Raw genomic sequence first — 23718 nt, forward strand, 5'->3', positions numbered from 1 at the left:
TTTATTTTATTATTATTATTATTTTGAGACAGAGTCTCGCTCTGTTACCCAGGCCGGAGTGCAGTGGTGAGATCTCGACTCATGCAACCTCCACCTCCCAGTTCGTGCCTCAGCCTCCCAAGTAGCTGGGATTGCACACGCACGCCACTATGCCTGGCTAATTTTTGTATTTTTAATAGAGACGGGGTTTCACCATGTTGGCCAGTTTGGTCTCAAGCTCCCGACCTCAGGTGATACATCTGCCTAGGCCTCCCAAAGTTCTGGGGTTACAAGCATGAGCCACCATGCCCAGCCTGGTTTGTTTTTGTATAAGGGTATCTCTGCTGTTCAAGAAATTCACAGTGCTTTACAGTTAACATAGAAAAACACATCATAGATGTCTAATTTTTCACATTTCTCTGTTTTCCAATTTATCCACTCCAAAATTAACTACTCTTTTCAGTGCACCATGTTCCACAATGATGACAAGAAGATATACTAAAAAGTTCTATTCTCTTAAAATTAGTTCTTCTTCCATGCCCACTACAAACCTAATTGTTTTGCCCATAAGCACTTCACTAGCAGCTTTATAAGATGATATCTTTCTTTAGAAACACTGGAGTACAATAAATAAGTTACATTGCCAACAAGACTCAAAGATGAAAGCTTCAGTTTAGACAAGTGAGTTTACTGGATTAGTTTCCAAACATAATTTGTAATCTGCCTATACTCACATGACTAATAGCACCATGTACCAATGATATACTTTCATCATTACATCTATTGTTCATTGCTAAGTGGTGAAGAGTTATGTAGTATCAAAGACAATGTGTAATTCACAAACTGTGTAACGGTTCCTTGTTAAAGAGGTAATGCAATCATGGACACCAATTGTAATCGCCTACTGATCACATTTCCTTATGGGTGGTTTCTTGTTACCAGTATTAGTGACTAAGAGTGAAGTAGAATTGGTATAAAAATAAAATTTTAGGGCTAAATCTTAAAGACCAAGCCCAGTTGTAATTTCACTTACAGGGAAATTACTCCAAAGAGGTAAAGTCAGAGCTTCTGAATTTTGACAGCCCATTATTTGACTCCTGCCTATAGCAGGGTCTTTAGGATGGACAGAGTTAAATTTCATTTTATTTCTCAACTAATAATAAACAACTGATAATTTTCATGGGAAATTTAAAAGATTCTTATATCCTAAACATCTGAGAAAGCCCTCATTCCCATGTAAAAATAATTATGTAGAGCTGAATTATCACCTGTCTCAACATGTGGGTAATACAATCTCCAGTTTACCAAAGTCTCTACTACTCCCTGTCCTATTTCCTATTTTTGGAGTTATGTTTTCTTCTTGAGTTACTGTTTTCATATTTTGGAAAGCAATGTGTAGGTGTATCGCTATAAAAATGGGGAAAATTAGAGATAATTAATATGAGATAGCATATGTATCTGTAGAGATGAAAAATATTATTTTATCTTTTAAAATAAAAGATAATGGGAGGCTGAGGCAGGAGAATCGCTTGAACCCAGGAGGCAGAGGTTGTGGTGAGCCGAGATAGCACCATTTGCACCCCAGCCTAGGCAACAAGAGCGAAATTCTGTCTCAAAAATAAATAAATAAATAAGATAAATAAAGGGCAAAGAGGATTTTTCTATCACAAAATGACACTCTAAAAAATGAATGCTAAAACTATGACTTAACCAAAGTTTGCCTGAAAATAAAGATTAGGTGAATTGCAAAGAAGTGCCAGAATTTTGTCAATCTAGATCTCACCTTTTGACATTCTGCAACTGGGCTTATGTATCATAAATATCTAACATAAGCAATGTTAAGTTCATTCAGTTTATCTCTACTGTCCACTTTCATGGAAGATGGATTTTGAATAAAAATAAAATTGCAAAGTTCTATATATGGACATCTGTGCCTGTAGTCTTCACCGTCTTTTAGTTTCTTTTCCAACTCACATGTAAGCAGCTAAAAGCTTTGTTGCCGTTTTTGGTTTGTTGCCGTTTTGCTTTGTTGTCGTTTTGCTTTGTTGCCATTGTCTTGCACATTAGCAGTCTTGCATTGTCAATCAAACTGATACTTTGTCCCTTTGTAGTTTTCTGAAGATCTACATAGTTAATGTTCTGCAATAAAATCCTATTCTTTACTTACTTTGATAAAATGAGGCAGCTGTGTATAGAGCTCTGCATACCCTATGATTCCCATTTAAAGGTTTCCATTTTGGTTGTGGTATCATGTAGCTGAATGACCTTAAGGAAGTCATTTTCTCTTTGAACCTGCAATTTCTTCATCTCAAAACAAATAAAAATCAGACTAGACTGATTTTGAAGGTTTACTTCACTCCTGAAACACTGTGTCATATTTCCTGGTATTTAACATCTCTGTTACGAAGCAAACATATGGTGGGTATTTGCGTTCTCTATGTCCCCTAGAATTCCTAACAAAACTTTTATCATGTTTTCTTATTATGTCACATTCAGAAATTAACAGATTTACTTTGTCTGTCCCGTGTGGAGATCTTAGGTGAGGGAAGGGGACCAGGGTGTTGCCATAGAGATGGTTGATAAGTTAGCTAAGGTCTGATAAAATGAATTCAGCATGGAAACATAGACCTGCCATGAGTGGGAGGAGCAAGGGTGGATGCTAACTGAAATTACTGTGAATGAGAAATTGGGGATGGGGTGAAGGTAGGACAGTGGCTGTGACATGGCTTTCAGAGAGGAAGGAAAAGATACTCAGGTCTTCAAACAGGAAGAAGATTTGCCATCAAGAGTGCATAAAAGGACCTTAATTTATTAGCCTATTATTTTGTTTTTAATATCTTAATTGTATAAATTGGCTGAACTTGTATAGTCCTGTGAGTCGGCAGTCAAAATAATAATGACACCACTACCTCTAAAATAATAATGATAATGATAATAATGACAATATGTGCTAACATTGTGAAGCACTTTCTATACATCAGCTCATTCATTTTTCACAGCCATTCCATAATATGATGCTCATTTTCCAGATGAAATTTCCAGGTACAACCAACCTTGTAGAAAAGTTGACAGAGAGGGTAAGAACCTTGTGCAATATCATGGTGTAAGTTACTGAATAGACACTCATCTTTCCTGACTGACAGTCTGATTCCAATTATGAATTAAACACCAAGGGGTGTGCGTGCATGTGTGTGTGTGTGTGTGTGTGTGTGTGTGTGTGTGTTTCCAGAAAGGATTACTCTTGGCCCTATTTCTTTATCTAGTGTGTAATTTATGTTCCTGTTATTGTTTTGGCATCTATCCATCTACCAATCTATCTATCTATCTAATCTATCCTTTATCTATTTATCTTAAGCTGATTGCATATAAGTATGGTAGAGTCAGTCTGTATTGGTCAGCTTAATCTAGACAATGCTATGGTAACAAATAACCCTCAAAATCTCAGTGGATTAAAGTAAGAACAATCTCAATTGTTCTACCTCCAGTGTTTCTTTATTCTGTGGTATATCATTCTCATAGCCAAAAGGGGAAATAATAGAAGAGTAAAATTGTCCTTAAAACCTCTGCTTTGTGGGTCTTAAGTAATTTTGACTCACATTCTACTGACCAAAGCAAATCCCAAGAACAAGCCTGATGTCCATGGAATAAGATGCACAATGCTTTCACACAAAGGGGCACCAGGGAAGGCCTCTATAGGGATGGACTTTGTAGGCAGGGGAAGCAAATATCTGGATTACAAAACTGTCACCAACAATTAACAATAGTATAATCCTTTATACTATACATGACTCACCTACCTGGCCATGTCGGAGGGGCCCAGTCACCAGATCTCATGGAGTCTTCTCTAGAAGTAGTGGGGCAGGCAATACTCTGTGACATTTAATTCTGCAATATGGGACCATAACTTTGACAAAGACCTTAGGGAGGTTGAAAGGAATTCCTAATCACGTGAATGGGGAATAGAGTCCCAGGCTTGTGATTTGCCAGTTTTGGTTTCTGTTGGTTTTCAGATCCCAAGATCATGTGCCAGGATAAGTTACTTTTAAAAAGAGAAAGGAATACCATACTCTCAGAGAAAATACTGCCCAAGAATGAAAATGTCTGTCTGAGAATTATCCTCTCAAAAAGAGATTGTTTTGGGTCAAGACTGTCTCACTCTGTCAGTGACCTATAGCATGATTTCTAATTTATGTAAAATTGGTTTCAGAAGAGCAGGTGAGAACACATGATATTAACATGAAAATGATTGTAGGGTGATGGGAACAGTCATATTTTATAAACATAAGCAAAATTTTCTTTGTTGTACTGCTGGGACAGCTTTATTAATTACAAGTCCAAAATATTGGTCCTGTACTAAATTCAATTTTACAGTTATTATTCGGTGTTAACTTCTAAGAAGCGATAAACCAGAATCATCTCCTTGTCAGTAGGAGGAAGTAATTGAAAATGATTTAATAAAGAATGGCTACAAAATAATGTAAAGGTCACATTGTCTTGATTGTTATTATTCTTTTCATGGAAAAAAAAAATCCTTAATGTCTCTAACAGTCCTGTGTAAGAGGAAGATATTGTCAAAAAGAGTAGTTTCAAGCAACTTTTAAAATCTTTTCCTGTATTTAATCTTAACAATTGAGCTACGATTTAACCTTTTCTTTAATGAAGCATTCTTAATTTTGTTCCTCTGTTTTATAGATAAAGTACATGAAGCATAGTGCTAACAATAATTTAAAATATTGCCATATGGCTAGTTATGAGTAGAACTAAAGCTAATTAACAAGTGTAGGGGACCCCAAGCAACTGTTCTCTCCTCTACCCAAGACTGAATTAGTACAAAACAGAATTGCCATTTCATTGGTTGACATTGAATAATTGAGTACTAATAGATATTTTGGTCCTAAAAATCTGCCACTGTTAATATATGCACAGATAAGTAGTGTTGGTAATGATATGGTGATGATAATGATGATGATGATGACGCAGATGCTAAAGCCAACTTTTGTTGAGCATTTCACATATGAAAGACACCGTGTTACGCGCTTCACTAGAACTGTAAACTTGCGACAAATTTTTGCAGGTTTTTGAATTATGGATTCAAATCCTGAGCCAGTATTTGATTTTAGACTCAGCCCCAGAATTTTTGTTGAGTCTTATTTGTAGGTAGTGGTGATTTGGTATAGCAGTTTTGTTTATTTTTTCTCCTCAACTCTTTTTCTGCCATCCATGGTAGTTTTATCAAGGAAAAAAAAACCCAAACTATTGCTGTTCATAGAGGTTCTGATGGTGTGTGTGTGTGTGTGTGTGTGTGTGTGTGTGTCTGTAATAAACATAATAAAAACACGTATTTTCAAGGTACTCATGCCAATTATATACTGTAACAGCCTGATAGGTTTTATTGTTTGCAGTTAATGGCAAGAGTTTTGATAATTAACTCTAACCTAATATGTCTAGTTTTCTTTTTATAGAAACAAGAGTGAGGTGGTAACAGGTGTATCTTGATCAAGGACATTTAAAATCCTTCCCATAACTGGACATATTATCTCTGTCTCAAAGGAAAACTCTGGGTATAATTACATAGGTGCTGTAATAGCAAAACTAGGCTAGAAGTAAAAAGATCTGGCTTTAAGTCCCAGGTAAACTTATAAACATGTGAATATATTTGAGCAAAACTCTCTCTATATATCTATATCTATATCTATATCTGTGCCAGTAAGCAAATTGACACATGAAATAAATGAATCATTTCTCCCAACTCCACAAGGAACAAGGCTGAGATTGTGACTCAAGTTCCTACTTCTCACTCCTGGGTTCCTGTGATCAGATTTTGTCATCGGGACTTAAGAAGGATGACAAGCTGATAACAATCTAGGGTATTATTAAAGCGACACAAAAGGCAAAATTCTGACTTTTCTGCAACTTTGGTGGAAAATTGCTATTAAAAGATGAAGGCTAAATGTGGAAAGGAAAGGATAAAGAATGCTATACTCAGAGGAAGACAGAGGAAGGTCGTATTGGGATGGCCCCTAGGATTAATGCACTTTAACGTAAAGTGAAAAAGGGACTTGTAGCATTGGACTGTTTTGAAGTCCCCAGGGGCATTTGAGAATGCTGGACCCAGTTAAATGCAGTCCTTTAAGTCATTTGAGAATTGAAAATTAAACTTTCAGATAAGGAATATAGGATGAAAGACAATTTGAAATTAGACTCCACACAGAGATATAGAGAAATATTTAAGAGAATTATCCTTTCATATTAAAACATTCAGTGCGTTCTCTTGTCTATATGTAGGGATGCAAGGAGAATTACAAAACTCTGCATTACCTCTAGTCTCTATTCTGTCTGGGGCTGAGAGAAACAAATGCTTATTTCCTCCTGAAAACTGATAACCTATTTTCAACTTTCCAAATTTCTCTCCAGATAATTTCTGTTTACTTCAAGAGTTCATAGTTACCCAATGTTGTAATAATTATTAACATATTTTATTTGTTGAAAACTACTGTGTGCAGCAAACTACCCATAGCAATTCATTTATAGTATATCATAATTCTCTTAAGAACTTTGAAGTAGATATATGATCACTACCCTCCTTTTAGAGATAAGTTTCTTGATTATTTATTCTGGGCCTCCCATGTTCCCAAATAGGGTTCAAGAAGGTAAATTTTCCTTGAGCAGCCCACAGTCCAATGAAATGACAATGATCGAGATGTAACTGAACTTTAGATAATTTTTATATGAATCTCTATGTGCTGAGACTGATGAAGCACCTACCTTACACCGAAGTCTATGCTTTTTACTACAACGGAGCACATCAATGCCTACATGCTTCAATAGCATGTCATTCCCATTTTTATTTTTTTCTGAATGAAGAAATCATTGTCCTAAATATACCTTAATTTCTCAAAATACCTTAGGATATGTTTGGAATATAATTTGAAGGTATTGGTATAGTCATAATGCTGTTTAAGAGCTATTGTAGTTCTTAATTGTGACGGTTTCAGGGGCTTACTTTAGCAAGCTGCCTACTTCCACCCACTCCTCTTCCTGGCATTTGGAATGATCGCCCCCATGCTTGCCATGCCTAGTGCCTCTCAGACAGAGGCTGGTGGGAGAAATGTATCTGCAGCGTCCATCTGCCAGCTCCATACTGAAATAACTGGGGTTTACTTGAGCAGCCTTTGCTGAAACCTCAGACAGTGGTAAAGGTGGTGTTTCCATAGTTGTGCCAACTTAACATTAAATCAGGTGCTATATGTTTTATACTTGCCTTTCCCTGTCTTTTACATTCAATTTTTGGCCCATGGAAGTACCAGGCACAACCTTTGCACCCATACATCTGTCATCTGTCTGTAATTCTAGATATGATAGTCATTTGATGTTGTGTCCAACAATTCCATCTTCCCTCATTCTCTCAGGGGTTCTTTCTGAGGCCTAGGAGAATATAATATAATAGATCACACTCAAAGGGAATATTAAGCTCTTTTTGAGATTATTACTCTAGCATTGAAGTTTCATGTCTAAACCTGAGGTTATGCCTACTTGAATTCTCTGTACAGTGGAGATATTAGAGAGTTGCAGTTAGGACTCAAGAACTATAGCTTTTTCTTGACTATTCATCTTTCAACATAAGATGTAGACTTGGGAGGATTCTGGATGCAGCATCAGATAATAGAGACGGCATGTGAGCTCTCATGCCACCTCTGCAAGCTGCATGAACTCAGGCAGTTTCTAATCTACCTTAGCCACAGTTTACATGCCTATAAATAGAAAATAAGTGTTCAATTTCTCTGACCATATAGGATCCTTGCAATTATTAAATGAGATTAAAGTATATGAAAATGGCTCTGCAATTGCAAAGCACTATATAACTTTACAGGACCATTTAAACTGAATTATACAAGAAGAGAACTAGCCAGTTTAGATTAAGAATTCCCATTAAAACCTGGTAGTAAAAGCCAGCATTGCTTTCTTTAACCAAGATATTATTCAATTAGATACTTTGTTCATTATTTGTTTAGTATTTGCTGAGCACATATTGTATATAAAAGACTGTATCAAGGGATATCAGGTTCAAAGTTAAACAAGGCAAGGATTCCAGTGTTAATAAGTTTAAATTCTTACTTATTCATGCGAATCATTATAAACTGTAGAAGCTCTACGCTTTTTACTGAAACCTCCCTCTGTCAAAAGTATGGACCAATGTCTGTGGCAATTTGAAGAGTAGATGCTCGTGAGTCATTCCATTGCATGTCCACATACTTCTGCTGAGTTTAATATTCATCTAGAGTCAGTTGTGTTTCTGTCCAAACCTGTTAATGAATGTTGAACTATTATTTCAATGATACAATTTAAATATTACATAAGGCTATATAATTAGGTGTGAGCTAATTATTTGTAAATGCTTATAAAACAGTGCATATTAGAAAGAATGTTTACACTTGATCTTTTTAAAATTGATGAATTTGAGTGTGATTTGTATATGAATGATGACACTTGGATAACCAGTTGGCAGACTCTAGTTCAAAGCAAAGGAGCTTTGGATCTATTTTTTTTAAATGGTGGACAAAGTGTGCATTTTGTAGATTTTTAGTTAAAATGCATTTTGAAACATTGTATAAATTATATTCATTAATAACTTATAAAAGACTCCTTTTCACCAACTGACCTAGTACAAGCTCTTTTTGTATTTGATAAGAAGGTTTCTCCTTTATAAGACTGACTGTAGATATAATGCCATGAACATCCAATTTTATGTTTATCTCCTTAGCAACTAGCTTAGTGCCTGGCACATAGTAGGTGCTTTTTAAAGACATGCTGGAGTTGAAGGAGGTAACTAGAAGAAAGATCATGAAGTGGAAGCATTTGAAATGAATCTTGCAAATAGGGAGAAATTGGGTTTGATAGTGTTGTGGACAGAACAGAAAGAGCATCAATGTGTCCTCTTAAGATCACGGGATTATCATTTAATGTAATTGAAGGCATTTGAATTTCTATATCTATAAAATGTAGAATAGCTAGCAGTCAAAGGGTCATATAGAAACTATGCATGCATAAATAAATCAGTGCTGTCATTAACTTTCCAATATCTTAGTGTCACTGAAGGCAAAAGTCAGGTTTAAAAACATTCTTAACTTTAAATTACATAAGAAGCATAAGAAAATTTGTGAAATTGGAAGAGTTCCAGACATATATTTCTTAATTCCTCTAGAATACACACAAACACATAAAAATAAATGCTTACTTTAAAATTTGACAAGATATATATTTATGTAACTTGAACTAATTTTAAATTATTTAGAACCAAAATAAAAGTTGCATTGGCTAAACAGCGAGGAAGTTGAATACTTAAACGCAATTCATAGAACCTATATCCTAATAACTATGAGTTAGGCCTCTGCTGCGGTGTTGCACCTATTAAAAGCAAATCAAAACAAGCCAAAAATAAACAAATTGGACAAATGAAAACACACATATACAAATTTTAAAACAGACAAAAATAACTGAATACATTTAAAAAATTAAATGATTATAGAATTTACTTCCACTGAGTATATTAAAAGAATAGATAATCTATATAAACCGTTCGTTACACATATTATTGAAGGGTTCCATCACTAGTATTGAGACATTCAGGAATAGTCTGTTTTATACTTCAGATTATTTAATGTTTTTTATCTTCATGACAGACCACCCATTATATTTCAATTGTCTTGAAATATAATTTTAAAAAGAGAGAAAAGATGAAAGATCAAATAAAGCAAAAAAGAAAGACTTTCACAAAGATATCTCTAGATAAATGGCTTCATCAGTAAATATATTTAAACATTAAAGAAAAATAGTATTCTTATACAAACTACTTGAGAATGGAAAAGATAGAGCATGAATTTTGAGCCCATTAAAACCTAACATAATAGTCAAAGACTTTGTAAAGCAAATAAGAAAATAAAAAAAGAAGGAAGGAAAGGAAAGAAAAGAAAACATTAAAATTACCTTATTTTGTTGATTCTTGTTTATGTTTATTTTTCATTTTAATATCTCTAAAATTTAGACATTTAAGAATAAATGCTATAATATCTTGCACTATATATCTGGGAGTAGCTTCTGGCACAGTCAAGAAAGTACCAATATGAAAACAGCTTAGAATATATTCAACATGAAAATCATTGTATATTTGAAAACAAAGTGTTTAATGATAATTAAAAGATGACTAAATGTTTTAATATTCTATAAAGAGTTAACTAATCATATCTGAGAAAAAAGAAGGGATAGATATTATTTGTTTTCTATCAATAAAATCTGTAAATCATCCTCCTGATATTTTTTTTTCTAATTTCTATTTCTTCACACTTCAAACATTAAAAGTCAAAGATGCATTTGTTTGGAATTAGTCATGGATAAGATATAATCATCTTTATTGGACTCTAATAATGTTCTAGGCATATGAAACCTTTATTTATCTAATTATCTAATTATTTTTGCATGATGATGGTATTGTCATACCACACATCTATATTTAAACAAATTTTCATATGGAACTTGATAAGCATTAACCAATAAAAAATAATTATGCATTCTCAAAACAAATAAAAAAATTTAGTTGAGCTCAACCTGTCTTGGGAGTTACAGCAAAAAGAAAAAAGTAACATACTTGTGTAAGTGTGTGTCTGTTTACATATAATCACATGTATATTTTTAAAGACTGACAGTAGCTTCTTTTCATTGGGTATTTACTATGTGTCAGGATCTGAGCTAAGTGTTTTATGGCATTACTCTATTAATCATTGTAGTAGCTATGAGGACTTGTGTTATTATTATTCTATAGGAGAGAAGCAGATTTAGAGAAGTTAAGAAATGTACCAGTGGGTCACATAGTGTGTAGCAAAGCCAAGACTTGTAAATGGGCCTGTCTACCTCCAAAGAATGTGTCCATAACCACTGTGTTAATGTTTTTGTTTGTGTGTGAAACATTTAAAATAATTATAACTATAGAAGCAACATCTTCAAACGACTGGTCATCAGGAAATCTGGAAGAAAAGTGATTCTCTTTTATCCATATAAGCAAAATGCAGCAATGAATGATGAATCAAGGTGAGGAATAACTAGGGTTAAAGCAATGCTCAGTAGAGGGCCTGAGAGGCATGAGGAAATAAAGAAGCTTCCCCAGAGAGAAAGTGTTTGAGCTGGGTCTTATCATGAGATTTCAAATAGCTAAAGAGAAAAAAGGGGCATTTAGGCCAGGATAGTAGTATAAATAAAGGCTATATGGCGGAATGACCAAGTGTTTTCAAGTGATTGTGAATGTTTTTGTTTAAGAGTCCAATTGGCAACACCATCTTCTTGCCTCCCATGTTCTAAAACAATAGAAAAATACAACAAATAAAGTGAGTAGAAAGTGACCAAAGCATCATCTTTTTTACTGATATTCCTGATATTGAAACATTTTGCATATACCTATGAGAGAAATTGCTTTATAATATTAAACTCCAGAACTAGAATTACCTATCTAGCAGAATCAGAATTACTCACCCCTAGAAAAACAGCATAGAATAGGTATGCCCTTTAGAGAGGCCCTCCCGAGAAAAAGGAATAGGAAGGAATGCGGCAATGCACATTCAGTTTTGTTTTGTTTTGTTTTTTGATTTTGTTTGTTTGTTTGTTTGTTTTCCTCCAGGGTGGAGTTAAAGGACAGAGAGAGGCTGGTAGTGTTATTCTAATGAAGTTCCTTCACAGGGAAGGAAACATGAGGAGTGAAGAAAAAGCATCCCTCCACCTAGGCCAGACTTGAAAATCTGCATTTAGAATCTCAAAAAAGCACTATTTCTTAATGCGCCGCATGACACACAGTGCTAGAGATCCAGTCCTTTATACCTAGCTCTTTCTAAATATTCCTAATAGCTAATAAATAGAAGAATTGAAATACGCTTCTGCAAAATGATGCAAGGAATCTCATAAGTCACCAAGAAAGGGCATTACCTACACATAAGAGCAGTCTCAAAATAAATAAGATGCAGTTTTTGCTGTTCTTTCTGGTATAAAGAGATGTGTGTGTGTGTGTGTGTGTGTGTGTGTGTGTGTGTATTTGCAACTAAGCATATCAAAAACAGAATAGAATGAAAGGTTTCTCAGCTTAGATGATGTCTCTTTGACCATACCTCAACTGTCTTCAATAGTTCTTATAATTATGTCGGAAAAAATAAAACCCTGGGACAAATATGCTATATTCTGAGAAAACAGAAACTTTCACTTTCTGGTAGAGAAACAACTAGATAAATCTATTGCCTATTTTTTTCTCTTAATTTCCAACATTTATATATATATTTATTTCCAGTTGAATCATTGAGCAAACTCTGTTTGGTGCGAGTGTTCTTTTTAATCTTCTGGATATTCATTTTTACCCTGTTGCTTGCTCATCTATCCTTTCTGTAGTGTCTGATTTTAATATACGTTTTAAAATTTTATCATGAAATATAATCAAAGAGTGTCTGGATTCTAGTGGCTAAGTCATTTCCCACCAAGATTTTGGATTATATAATCATTGAGGTCTCAACGCAAATGTAGATAGCAGCTTCACTTTAAGGCATGATGCATAAGGTTTGAGGTCTTGTGCCATTTTTGATAGTTAGGATTCCCAGTTTTTAAACACTACTTGTTAATTGCTGAAAAGTTATTAAGGCAAGAAGACACGTCAGTTGTCCAAAGAACAGCAAGAAGTTCAGGTTGGTTGAGAGTAGGCATCAAGCAGAAGAAAATTTTGGTTTAATCAAAGTGGTGGTTTGTCAGATGAACGTAATAAAAGACAGGAGAATTGAGGGAGTGGTTGTAATGACCAACCAAAAAACTTACACAGAGTAAGGAAGGAGAGACCACTGAGGGGATGAGGGAAGGTTATAAGGTCATAGAATCAATAGACAAAGGTCTCCATAAAGTAAAAAGATTTGGAATGCTAGAGTATAAGAGTATAAGAGGGGCTTAACTGGAAACAAATAAGAGATGTTGTTCCATAGTAAGATTCATGAAATAGATATTATGGAAAGGTTACAGTTATTAATTTAAAAATAGTAATGTCTTGAGTATGCCATTGAAGAGGGTGAATGAAATAGTATGGAGGTCAACCTCATACACCATCCATCTAGAGAAATTTAAGAAACTTAGAAGACAGAGATTTGTGGGTCATATTTTTGAAACCTCAAGAATTAATACGAAAGATGTGGAGTATGTGATAGTGAGCCAGTAGTTAAAATCTTCAAGAAATGAGGGGGTAATGACATTTCATATTAAGATTAGACATGGTAGATTCAAGTCAGCTAGTGTTGGTGCAGCTATTGAGAGTATGACTGAAGAAGTCGTACTTGTGATTTCATCTTCACCCCTACAGATGAGGAAAGGCATTCTAGAGGATTGGATGTTTATCACAGTGTGCAATCCAGTGTTCCACCCACCAGTGGGTCCCTGATAAATGGAAAAGCCTATGGAAATCATTGTCCTAGAGTAGTGTGTGAACTCACTTTTGACCTCTATTGTGGGGGGATGGAATTATATTAAGTGTGAGACTCCACTTGACATCTTTAGATAGAGTTAAAACTTTGGGAAAGGCAGATGTTATCCCAGCATGAGGTTTCCCTCTGCACACCAAAGGTGGTAGATGGCCTAGGAAATGCTTCACATCGTCCCCAGGAGTAATTCCAAATACCTTAGCATGACATACATGACACTTCACACTCAATTCTCCGAGCCCATCTTTCTCCACCTTCCCCTTCACCTAATTCTGGCAGTCAACATTATAGCCACATGAACTGTTTGTAGTTTTTCAAATAACTCAGGCTGCCACATGCCCGAGGGACTTTTCACTTGTTTCCTCTCCCTGAAACGTTCTTCACTTGAAAACTCCTGTATGTCCTTGAAGTCTCTCATTGTACATGCAAGGCACTTTGCAATCTGGAACTCTCTTATTTATCCTGTATCTACATTTCCTACCACTGGGAGTGGCTTATAGCAGATGATCAACAAACTCTGGTTGTTATAAGTTCATTTAATTTCCCATAGTAATTAATCATCCTGAACATTTTTAAATTTACAATTAGAAAATTCCAGAGGTAATTTCCAGGCACCATTACCTCTGCAAACCTACCATCATTAGAATTCAACCGTGGCACTCTTAAGGATGAAAAGAAAGATAATAAAAGTCTTAAGTACAGACACGTAAGTAATGGAGATTAAGATAGCAGGATTGCCGGAAGCTCATAACTCTTGTTAAGAATTTTTAAAGCAAAGTTATCAAATCTCTGCACAGTGGAAAACCTATGTGTTTTGAATATAAATGTAGTTTTTTTCATGAAAATCATCTTTTCACTAGTGCCTGTACTTTAGATATTTGTGGCTAATGGCATTTCCCCAAAATTAAAAGTATGCTAGAAAAAAACTAAGATCATTCTAGGTTTATATTGGGTTGTTCTAGTTTGTTTTCTTCATCTAATCACCTATATGGTATGCTCTAGTATATGACTAAATCTAAGATTTATGTAAGATTATAAAATTTGGGGTATCTATATTTGTATCATAGTTCAACCATCACTGGAAGCTCATATCTCCATATGTGAGCAACACTGAGATAGGGTATTTAGGGCAGATTAGAGATTCTGTTTTGTCAATGAATGAATGAATGACAATGAATTTGAGGGCTCTGGATATGATCCTATCCTCCTATGCACCATGATACCAAAACCCCATTATTAAATATGTTGTCTCCTGAATTCACCGTATTTTGTCTTCAGGAATCCCCTCCACAATGCAAATGCCCAAGAAAGGTAATCATTAGACAACTAGTATATTATGCTTTCTATCAGATCAATCAAAGGAAGGGAATGCAACACAAAAAGATTTGAGCATAGACGTGAGGAAACTGACGATCGAAGGATTTCAGTAACTTAAAGTCATACACTTAGTAAGAACCAGAGTCAGGGTGTGAATCCAGATTTGTTCTGAAAACCACATGGACGTAGTGAGAGCACAGAGTGCTGCTCAGGGTAAATGGTCTGTCAGGTGCCCTGTGTGAAGTTATGCAGGAGGTGGAAAGCAAGGCTTTGGTCACATGGGACAGAGAGTATCAAGAGACCATTTCCCAGAGAAATGGAAAGCATGTGATATATAAATTCAGTATTTATCATGCTTTTATTTCAAATTATTCAGAAGAAGGGAAACTCCTCTTTTCTTTTACCTGCTGGCCCAATTTTCTGAATACCCTCCCTTTCCTGGAGATCACAGAAGGTGGCTGCACGCCAAGCCAAACATCTCTTCTGCTTAAGTTTTCCCCAGTCCTCTTTTCTGGCTGAGATACAGTGAGGAGGTGTATTGATTTCAGCTCAGATTCTCATCTGGGTCATTCAACCCGCATTCAGCAAGTGGCATTCTTTCACTGCTGGAGGCAGAGAGACACTGTCAGTCTCTCCCTGGAGGACAGTTGACTAAGTGTGGTAAGACTGTTTGCTGGCATCCCTTCCCTTGTCTGGGTTTGTTTTACATAACAGCATGCCACAGCTCTTCAAGGAACAATGCTGGAAATGCCCCTGGCTTCCCTTCTCCTGACATGTAGGAGGGAAACATGAGCATTTGCAAAATGCTGTTGCTCCAAACTCAGCTTTCAGCAGGCAGATAATAAATATTCCTCCATGCTGAGCTCCTTCCTCTCCTCTCCTCTCCCTCTTCTATCATATGGTTATCTATGACAGTGAAGCTCTGATACTGTACTTCGACTTTTTGAGGAGGCAGGATGAAAAGCAAGGGGCTTCAGTTTCATCATTTCTAGGATGGAAGAATTGAAGAAGTTGGTATCTAAATGTGCATAATTCTGTGGTCATGGTTATCCTGTTATTATTTCAGTATCATGGACCAAAATCTCTGTGCATGTCTTTTAATGGAATGCCATTGTGAGAAATTTTTAAATTAAGAATCAAGCAACTAAAATTCTACATCTAGATCTGGTACTAATTATGTGACCCTGGGTATATAATTTCAACTCTCTGAGTCGCAGTTACAGCTGGATTAGGTGATCCTTGATATTCTTTCTAACTGCAAATAGTCTATTATATACTTTCTTTTTTCCAGTTGGCATATCTTTTATTTACTTTAAAGTGATAGTATTTTAGAGAAATAATTTTAGAACTGAAAACACAGGAAGCCTTTTCGAATTTTATTAGTTGTTGATTGGTGTATTTTCTTAATAAGAACAATAGCCAAACTGGCATAGGAAAGCAAGAAAGTTTGTGATCAATGTTTATGTCACCAGAATTTTCTTTGCCTTTCTACAGAAGATAAGCTACATGAAATCTTGGTGAATTTGACATTGGGTAAGGTTACAGATTTTCCACAAAAGTTGATACATGGCAAACAAGAAAAGGGAGAGTTTGTTTTTCTCCTTGTTCAGAACACAAGTCTTAAAACATCACTAAGGGTATCTTTCTTAACGTGAAAAAGATTAAAATGCAAACCCAAACAAAGAACTGTAATACACAACTAGATTCTCAAGATTATAAGACCCTATGAGTTACGTGAAAACATTTAAAAAGTGAAAAAAAAAATGATAGTAACATTCAATAACATTTGTTAAGCACCCGGTCTGAGTCCTTGTGCTAAAACACCATAGGAATCATTTATTTAATCCATTCAACAAATCTATGAGATACAGATGATAATTTTTTCCATTTTCATCTGCGAAAAAAACAGACCGGACAAGTAAAGTAACATTTCTTGCTCAACATTATAAAGCAAATAAAGGTCAAACTAAGAAATAACAGGTTTTTTCTAAATTTTTCATCAAATGTTGTATTCCTTAAATTTCAAAAATAAATTTTAGAGCTTCCACTGTTAAAATTTGATACATATATTACATATGTCAATTTAAATAACAACACTATGAATTTTTAAATATTAAAATTATATTTAATGTTTACATAGGGTTTTCAGAGATCTATTATTTAATTGAATTTGTTATAATTTATAGGGAAGAGAAAGAGAATTAGAGAAGAGATCGGATTCACCCAAGATCACACAAAGTCACATATAGGCAGGAATTGGAAGCTAGGTCTGCTGACTTTGAATCTAGTACTTTGCCCACCAACACAGAAAGTTTCCTTTTTCAGAGAAGTTGAGCTTTTTCGAACCAACTCTATATAGTATGGTAAAGTGTACAGAGGTTTTAAAATATATATTGGCAATGATTTTTAACAGATATCTTAAAAATATCCTTGAATTTCACAAAATGAAAAACTTCCTGGGTGAAAGAATTCCATGGGGGCAGGGGTGTGATAGTTGAAAATCGAGTGCTTGAGAATAAAGAGCAAGTAAGGTCAAGTTTTTAAACCTATAATTTTGCAGAATATTCCCAGGAGTGATTTGACATCTTGGGGAACATTTTGTGATTTGACCTTTTGCAACCACTGCCTGCAGTTGCCTGAATTTGAACAATTATTTTTTTTCTAGCTGCTTTCAAAGCCATTTTAGAAGGCTTGGTATTCTGATAACATTAGGTTTCTCTACCTCTGTGGAGCCTTTTCTTTAAGAAAATGTCAGTGCCTGGGTTAGATTAATCAGGTCCGGCTTCAAATGCAAAGTTACCCAGGCTCATCAAAAGGGTGAAAATGACAAGAAAAATAAAGCGCTTCTACTAATACGCTTATTTCTCCAAAATAGGTTTCTGGGTTTGGCGTTATATTTATTAATGACATTTCTCTCTTTATCTCTTGATTTTGACCCATTTGTGAGATAGAATTGTAAATTGAAGAGATAGTATTCAAATATCATCTTGATTGCAGGTAACCTTGGTTTGTAGGATTCGTTTTTATTTACAGCTGGGATTCTTACTTTTTCTCCTCCAAGGCTAATATTTGGTATTTACCAGCTCAAGAGAGATGTGGATGTGGTAGAGCATACACTTGCTTGGAATAGCTGGCTGACACCCACTGAGTCCCCATAGAAGGCATGGAGAGAGACCATGAGGTCATCATCTAAACAGTAATCCATGCCTTGATTCAAGAGAGCTTATCAAATGAAGGACAAGAGCAAGGAATTATGAGATCCATTCAATAAGAAAACACCTAAGTGATGAAGTGTCTTAATTTCACCAAATAGATAACCAAAATGAGTAAAGTGAGAGGAGAAGCAGTGGAATCTTTTCTTTCCAATACTTCTAAAAGGGTGTATATTTCTGTTCACAGGTCAGGAAAAAATGAGGGAAGACAAAGGACATTATGACTCCTAAAGAGGAGTGTCCCCCACAGCAAGTCCAGCTGAATATGTGTACTATAGACTATAGTAAATGTTTCCTAAAAGCCTAGTTTCGTGATAATATATCTTTGGAAAATGCTAAGTTAAAGGCAAACATCTTCTAGTGCAGAAGCACATATGTGCTAATGTGCGTGGTGAACCTCCAGTGGTATCGCACGCTGTTTCACAAAAATCAAATGTTCCTGATTGAAGAAGTCATTATTTTTAGCATATTATGAAACCAATGTTCAATGAAAAATATTACTTAGAAACATCACTTTAAGAGTATTCCCAACTATACTCTTCTTCTTTCTCCTCCACTGTATTCTCTTCTTTCTTTTTTGTAATATTTTAAATTCTGGTGGTTCTCAAACTTTGGTAGGAATATTAAACAAGGAATGAAATAAGCTATGAGCTGAAAGAACAAAAATTTGCAAGATTTATAATTATTAAGGATTACAAATTATTTATAAAGACTAAACTTATATAGAATAAATATTTATAAAGACTTTTAACATGCATACTATCAATCCACAAGATAGCATCCATCTGAATATAATCTGAATCCACGTGCCATGATTCAAATGTCCCCCAGTGTTCGTACTGCCCTTCCAAACTTTGCAGCTGTTAACTTGTTAGAATTATTGAAAAATAATTGGTAAGCCTTGGATTTAGGGTCAAAATGTGGTGAGACACCTACTCCAATATTAGTAGCTATAAGGAAGTTACCACAAATTTGAATATGTGTATACTAGTCAGTGAAATATTCTAATAGTAAAACTTAGGTTTTGGGTGGCATTCAGAGTTCCTAGTAGAGCCTTCGGCACCTAGGAGAAAATAAAAAATGGTGGTAATTACAACAAATATTGATTAATTACAACCAGTTATTGCAACAGGTATTGCAAGAACTCTGTCAGGTTGCTATGGAGAATTTTGTCATCTCTATTTTACAAAATAGGAAACTGAGTCTCAGATTGGTTACTTAAAATAACCTCCTAATATCACAAATTAGTTTTTGACCAATTTGGGACACGAACTTGGTTCTTACTAAATATACTGTCCTGTTTTTATAAATTGATGGATACCAAGCAATTTTTAAGGAGAACAAGATTCTATCTCCAGAGTAGATGGAAAAAGTTGTTCCCCGTGGATAAGGCATCTGTTTTTCAGGACAGACCTGTGGACCAGGCATTTTTCTGTTGAGAATTCTTTGTTCTTTCAACACATCACAAATAGAATTTCTACTCATTTTCTCTGTGAAATGCAGTCTCATCATTTCTATGTCAGAAGGGCAAAATGTAACATATCAACCCCAACTCTGTGGCTCTGGGATTACAACTCTGACAAATCAATTATAATCTCTTACTCAAAGGAGCATATCTAGCACTTACCTAACTATATATGGTTGAGTAGAAGTAAATGACTGCAACATTTCTCAGAATTTATCAGGTCTTCACTGACACCTCTGTAGATCCCATTTTCTCTATTAAAGCTAATTTTCTCATCAAAGTTAATAGATGCAACTAGACTATTATATCTGCTTCTTATTGGCACCTCTCTTCTGAAGTGCTGAAACTATTTCCATTGAACCATGAGAGCTAAGAATGGAATATGAATTCACATTTTAAAATTTCTCCTGAAATGGGACTTCTGCAAAAGGTAAATTAGATCTGTTAGTGTCACAACCATACTCTATACAAACATTAAGTACATATAAAAGAATATTTTGTTACCTTCTGACAAAACCTGTTGGTATGTAATTAGTCTGTTCCTCAGAAATTGAGTTGAACAAAACAGCATAATTTTACTAATGCAAATATGTGAGCTCTAATAATGTATTACTGGCTCTAACAGTGGGTGACTGTAATAGTGTATTACTGGCTTTCATGGATGCATTAATATTAGTAGAAACAAGCATAAGATTGGCTACTTTACTATTACTCCTGAAGCCTGAAGGTAGCCTTTTAACAAAGGAAAAAAAAATCACTCAACAGGAATATCACCTACCAATGTCACAGAAGTTATTCTTCAAATCGACTGTCCTCAAAAAGCTCTATGTACCACTTTTTCTATACTCTGTGTTCGAAAGATGACAAAACACTTTGCCTACTATTAGCAAATGTGTTTCTCACAATAGCCTTAGCAATAAGTTTGTTTATTCCTACTTTAGTGGGAGAATTTAAACAACTTACTCGCATTTCTGTACCTTATTATCATGATTGCATGTGCTTTAATCCTGGGACTAGATCTGCTACTGTGAATTGCCCTGCGTTTATGTAAAACATGTTTTAATATCTAGTTAGATGTTTGCAGGAGTTACAGTTAATTATACCAGGAAATTGCTGTCTCTTTCGATGGATCAAAGTAGCAAATGTATTCATTTGTAGCTGTAGTTTTAGATTTCTGAGCTGGAGTTGTTTTATTTATGTATATCCCAAGGTGAACATATTTGCTGCATTTTTTTGAACTTGACTATGGACTCAGACAAATGAATAGCATTACAAAATTCCACATTGGGCTAGGCATCTGTGGTAGCTTTTTTGGAGGGTGAGAAAGGGAACCTCTTGCATAAAGAGAATTTTCTAGTAAAGGAAGGCAGAAAACTGGGATATCAGCAAAGACCTAGCTCCATGAACCTAGAGAAAACCACTACATTTGGAGGCTTTGCAAATACTGAGCTTTCTTTCATCTAAAGCTATCCGCCAAGAGAAAATGTCTGCTTTTGTTGAGGCAGAGGCAGGCTGGTATTCCAGACAAATGAGTTTTCAGCTTCCTAAAGCTAATACGTGCATTATATAATGTTCAAGAGTAAATGAAGGCTCTGTTTGTCATTGAGGGCCCCAGTTATCCAAACCAGCTTTCTATATTAACCACATTCTTGACATTCAACAATTAGTCAGCTTTCCACATTGTTTTTGTTTGTTTTCTTTGGATTTATCATCATAGTCCTAACCACTGATTTAGAACACAGAGGCTATTTTCTACAGAAGGAGTATGGGTTTATAAGGCAGGATTCTTAGGCCTGCCAGTAGGTAGCTCTGTCTCTTTGGATAAAGCATCCTTCTTTGATGAACGTCAACTGCTTAATCTTTAAGAGGATAGAATTGGTTGGTATAGATTTATTCTAAGACACTTTCTAACTCTCTTTTTTGAATACTTAGTAAGTTTCTCCTATGTTTATTATGGGTCAGAACAGTGTTTAATCATATTTCATAGATTACTCTGCTTTGACATAACTGACATTAACGTACCATCCTATGTGCCAGGAATTGTACCAAGAATGGTATGTATATTAACTCTTTTTATGTTCACAATATCACTGTGAAGTGGATTCTATTATTATTCTTACTTTACAGATAAAGAAGTTGAGACTCAGAGACATAGAAAAGTTGCCTGAAATCACACAATCAGTTAGTGACAGGATTCGAATTTTGAACCCAGTTAATCTGATATTTGCCCTTGCAGTGGACACTGTTGATGCCCCTGCCACCCTATCACCTTTCTTGAACTCACACACCCATCTCTCAGATGCTTAGGGGTTGGCTGCTGACAGCTCACTACTTGCCACTTTTTCTAGAGAAATACCACTGGCCAAAATAAAGCCATCTCAGCTAAGAGACGAAGACCATCCCTCCTCAGCAGCCTGCAGGGAACACATTACTGCTCTCCTTCTAGGGAAAATGATTCAAACCAGTTCCCATTCTTCAGTATAGTTCTCCACTCCTGCCCTCGGTGGATATTCAGATGGAGTCTTTAAAGGATAAATTTAAACCAGAAAAATTATGTGAATGCACTTTTTAAAATTATATTTCCCTCAATTGCTATTTTGTTCTTCACGAACTTAATAGATGAAATCAGAACGGCAAAGTTTTTAAACAAAAACACACCTAGTAGACTTGGCACACTGTGGTGCTTGTGTTTTAGCAGCCAAACCCATTTGTTCTCTTCTTTCACTAATTGGATCTGGCTGAGAATCTCAAATCACCAAATAATACTTTACTAAACATAATGCAGCCACTCTGATAAAGCTGATTTCCCTTCTCTCTTTTTTTTTTCTTGGCAAGCATTTAGGATTGCTAACAGCTCACTGTGACCTTATATCCATTGACACTAAGTTCAGCAAAAATTTTTCCAGAAGCAGTAATTTGTAATGTAAAAGTTTAATATCTTAAAAGCCAATGTTGATCTCCACTTTGGTCTTAAAGACTTTTGGTGTATAGCTCATCTAGAATTTTCTTCATGTCATACAGAGCTAAAGCATTTATTTATGTAACAAATAATTGTGGAATTCCCTCTATGTCCCAGGCACTGTGCTAGATGCTCAGAATAAAATAGTGAGCAAAATAGCTAGAGCTACATCCCTTATGGAACTCATAAAATAATTATAATCTAGAGTATAATCCAGTATTCACCATCATATATTTTTATTGTGATCTTACTGAGCTCTTACTATGATGTCTTACTGAGGACATTTGATGTAATAAGAGCTTCTTTCATGATGAGATACATTAATTGACGTTTGAAAAATAAATGGAGTTAAGTGAGTAAAGAAAGATGGGATATTAGAGTTGAGGCCAGAGGAGGCAGCAGGTGAAAGAACCCTGTGGGAAGAGGAAGCAGGGTGAGGAAGGCATGTAAAGAACTACAAGAACCCCAATCAGTGAAGAATCACTATTTAATATGAGTCCGGGAATATAGTGAGGGAAAAACAAAACAAAACAAAACAACATATGAAGCCCTAGAGAACAAGTTAAAGAATTTTAGTGTGACCTGATATCAATGGGCAATTATTGAAGAGTCTGGAGGTATTTATATGTATAGGCATGATCAGAGGGTAGAGAACATTTCAGAAGTTGAGAGCAACATATTGCAAACAAGGTCAAAATAATGAGAATTTTCCCCTTGGAAAAGCAGAAAATAAATCATATGGCTGAGCTAAAAGTGGGGAGATTATAAAGCTGGGATGGTTCAGGATGGATCAAGCAAACTGGGCCAGAATCACACGTTAAGCAGTGCGAATTTCATACTGAGGTGCTCAAGGGGAATGACCTGAACAAATATGTACTCTAGAAAGAAAAGCTTGGTTTAGCACTGTCCAATTGAATGTTCCATGATGAAGGAACTGCTCTACAATCTGTACCGTCCAATACACTAGTCACTAGCTACATGTAGCTCTCGCGCACTTGAAATGTGGTTTGTGTAACTAAGAAAGTAAATTTAATTTTTTAAAGTATGTTTAATATGGCTACCATTTTAGATAGGACAGGTGTAGTCGCATTGTGGAATATATGTGTGTGGGGTGGTGGTGGTGGTGGTGGTGGCATAGGTGGTCAGAAAGTTGGAATGAAGAAAAGGGGTAAAGAGATTATTCAGCAATCTAGGGGAGAGATGATGGCAGGAAGAATAAAGATGGAAAAATCATAGAGGCAAGAAATAAAAACATTTAATTTACTTGTCTAGGGCTCAGAGGACACAAATAGAATAATA

General features: G+C 35.3%; 1 protein-coding gene across 15 annotated transcripts in view; it reads left to right on the plus strand.

Moving 5' to 3' along the window:
- Positions 1 to 23718, plus strand: part of GABRG2 (gamma-aminobutyric acid type A receptor subunit gamma2) — an 88075-nt gene that overhangs the window by 45481 nt on the left and 18876 nt on the right. The window contains exon 7 of one of the 15 annotated variants that reach the window (NM_001375344.1): positions 16278 to 16316. The exons of the other annotated variants lie outside the window; for them this stretch is intronic. Within the exon in view, the coding sequence (NP_001362273.1) occupies positions 16278 to 16316 (39 nt within the window). The remainder of the gene's footprint in view (positions 1 to 16277; positions 16317 to 23718) is intronic. 15 annotated transcript variants of the gene reach the window in all.

The sequence above is a fragment of the Homo sapiens genome, chromosome 5 (assembly GCF_000001405.40).
Source record: "Homo sapiens chromosome 5, GRCh38.p14 Primary Assembly".
NCBI classification, from domain to species: Eukaryota; Metazoa; Chordata; class Mammalia; order Primates; family Hominidae; genus Homo; species Homo sapiens.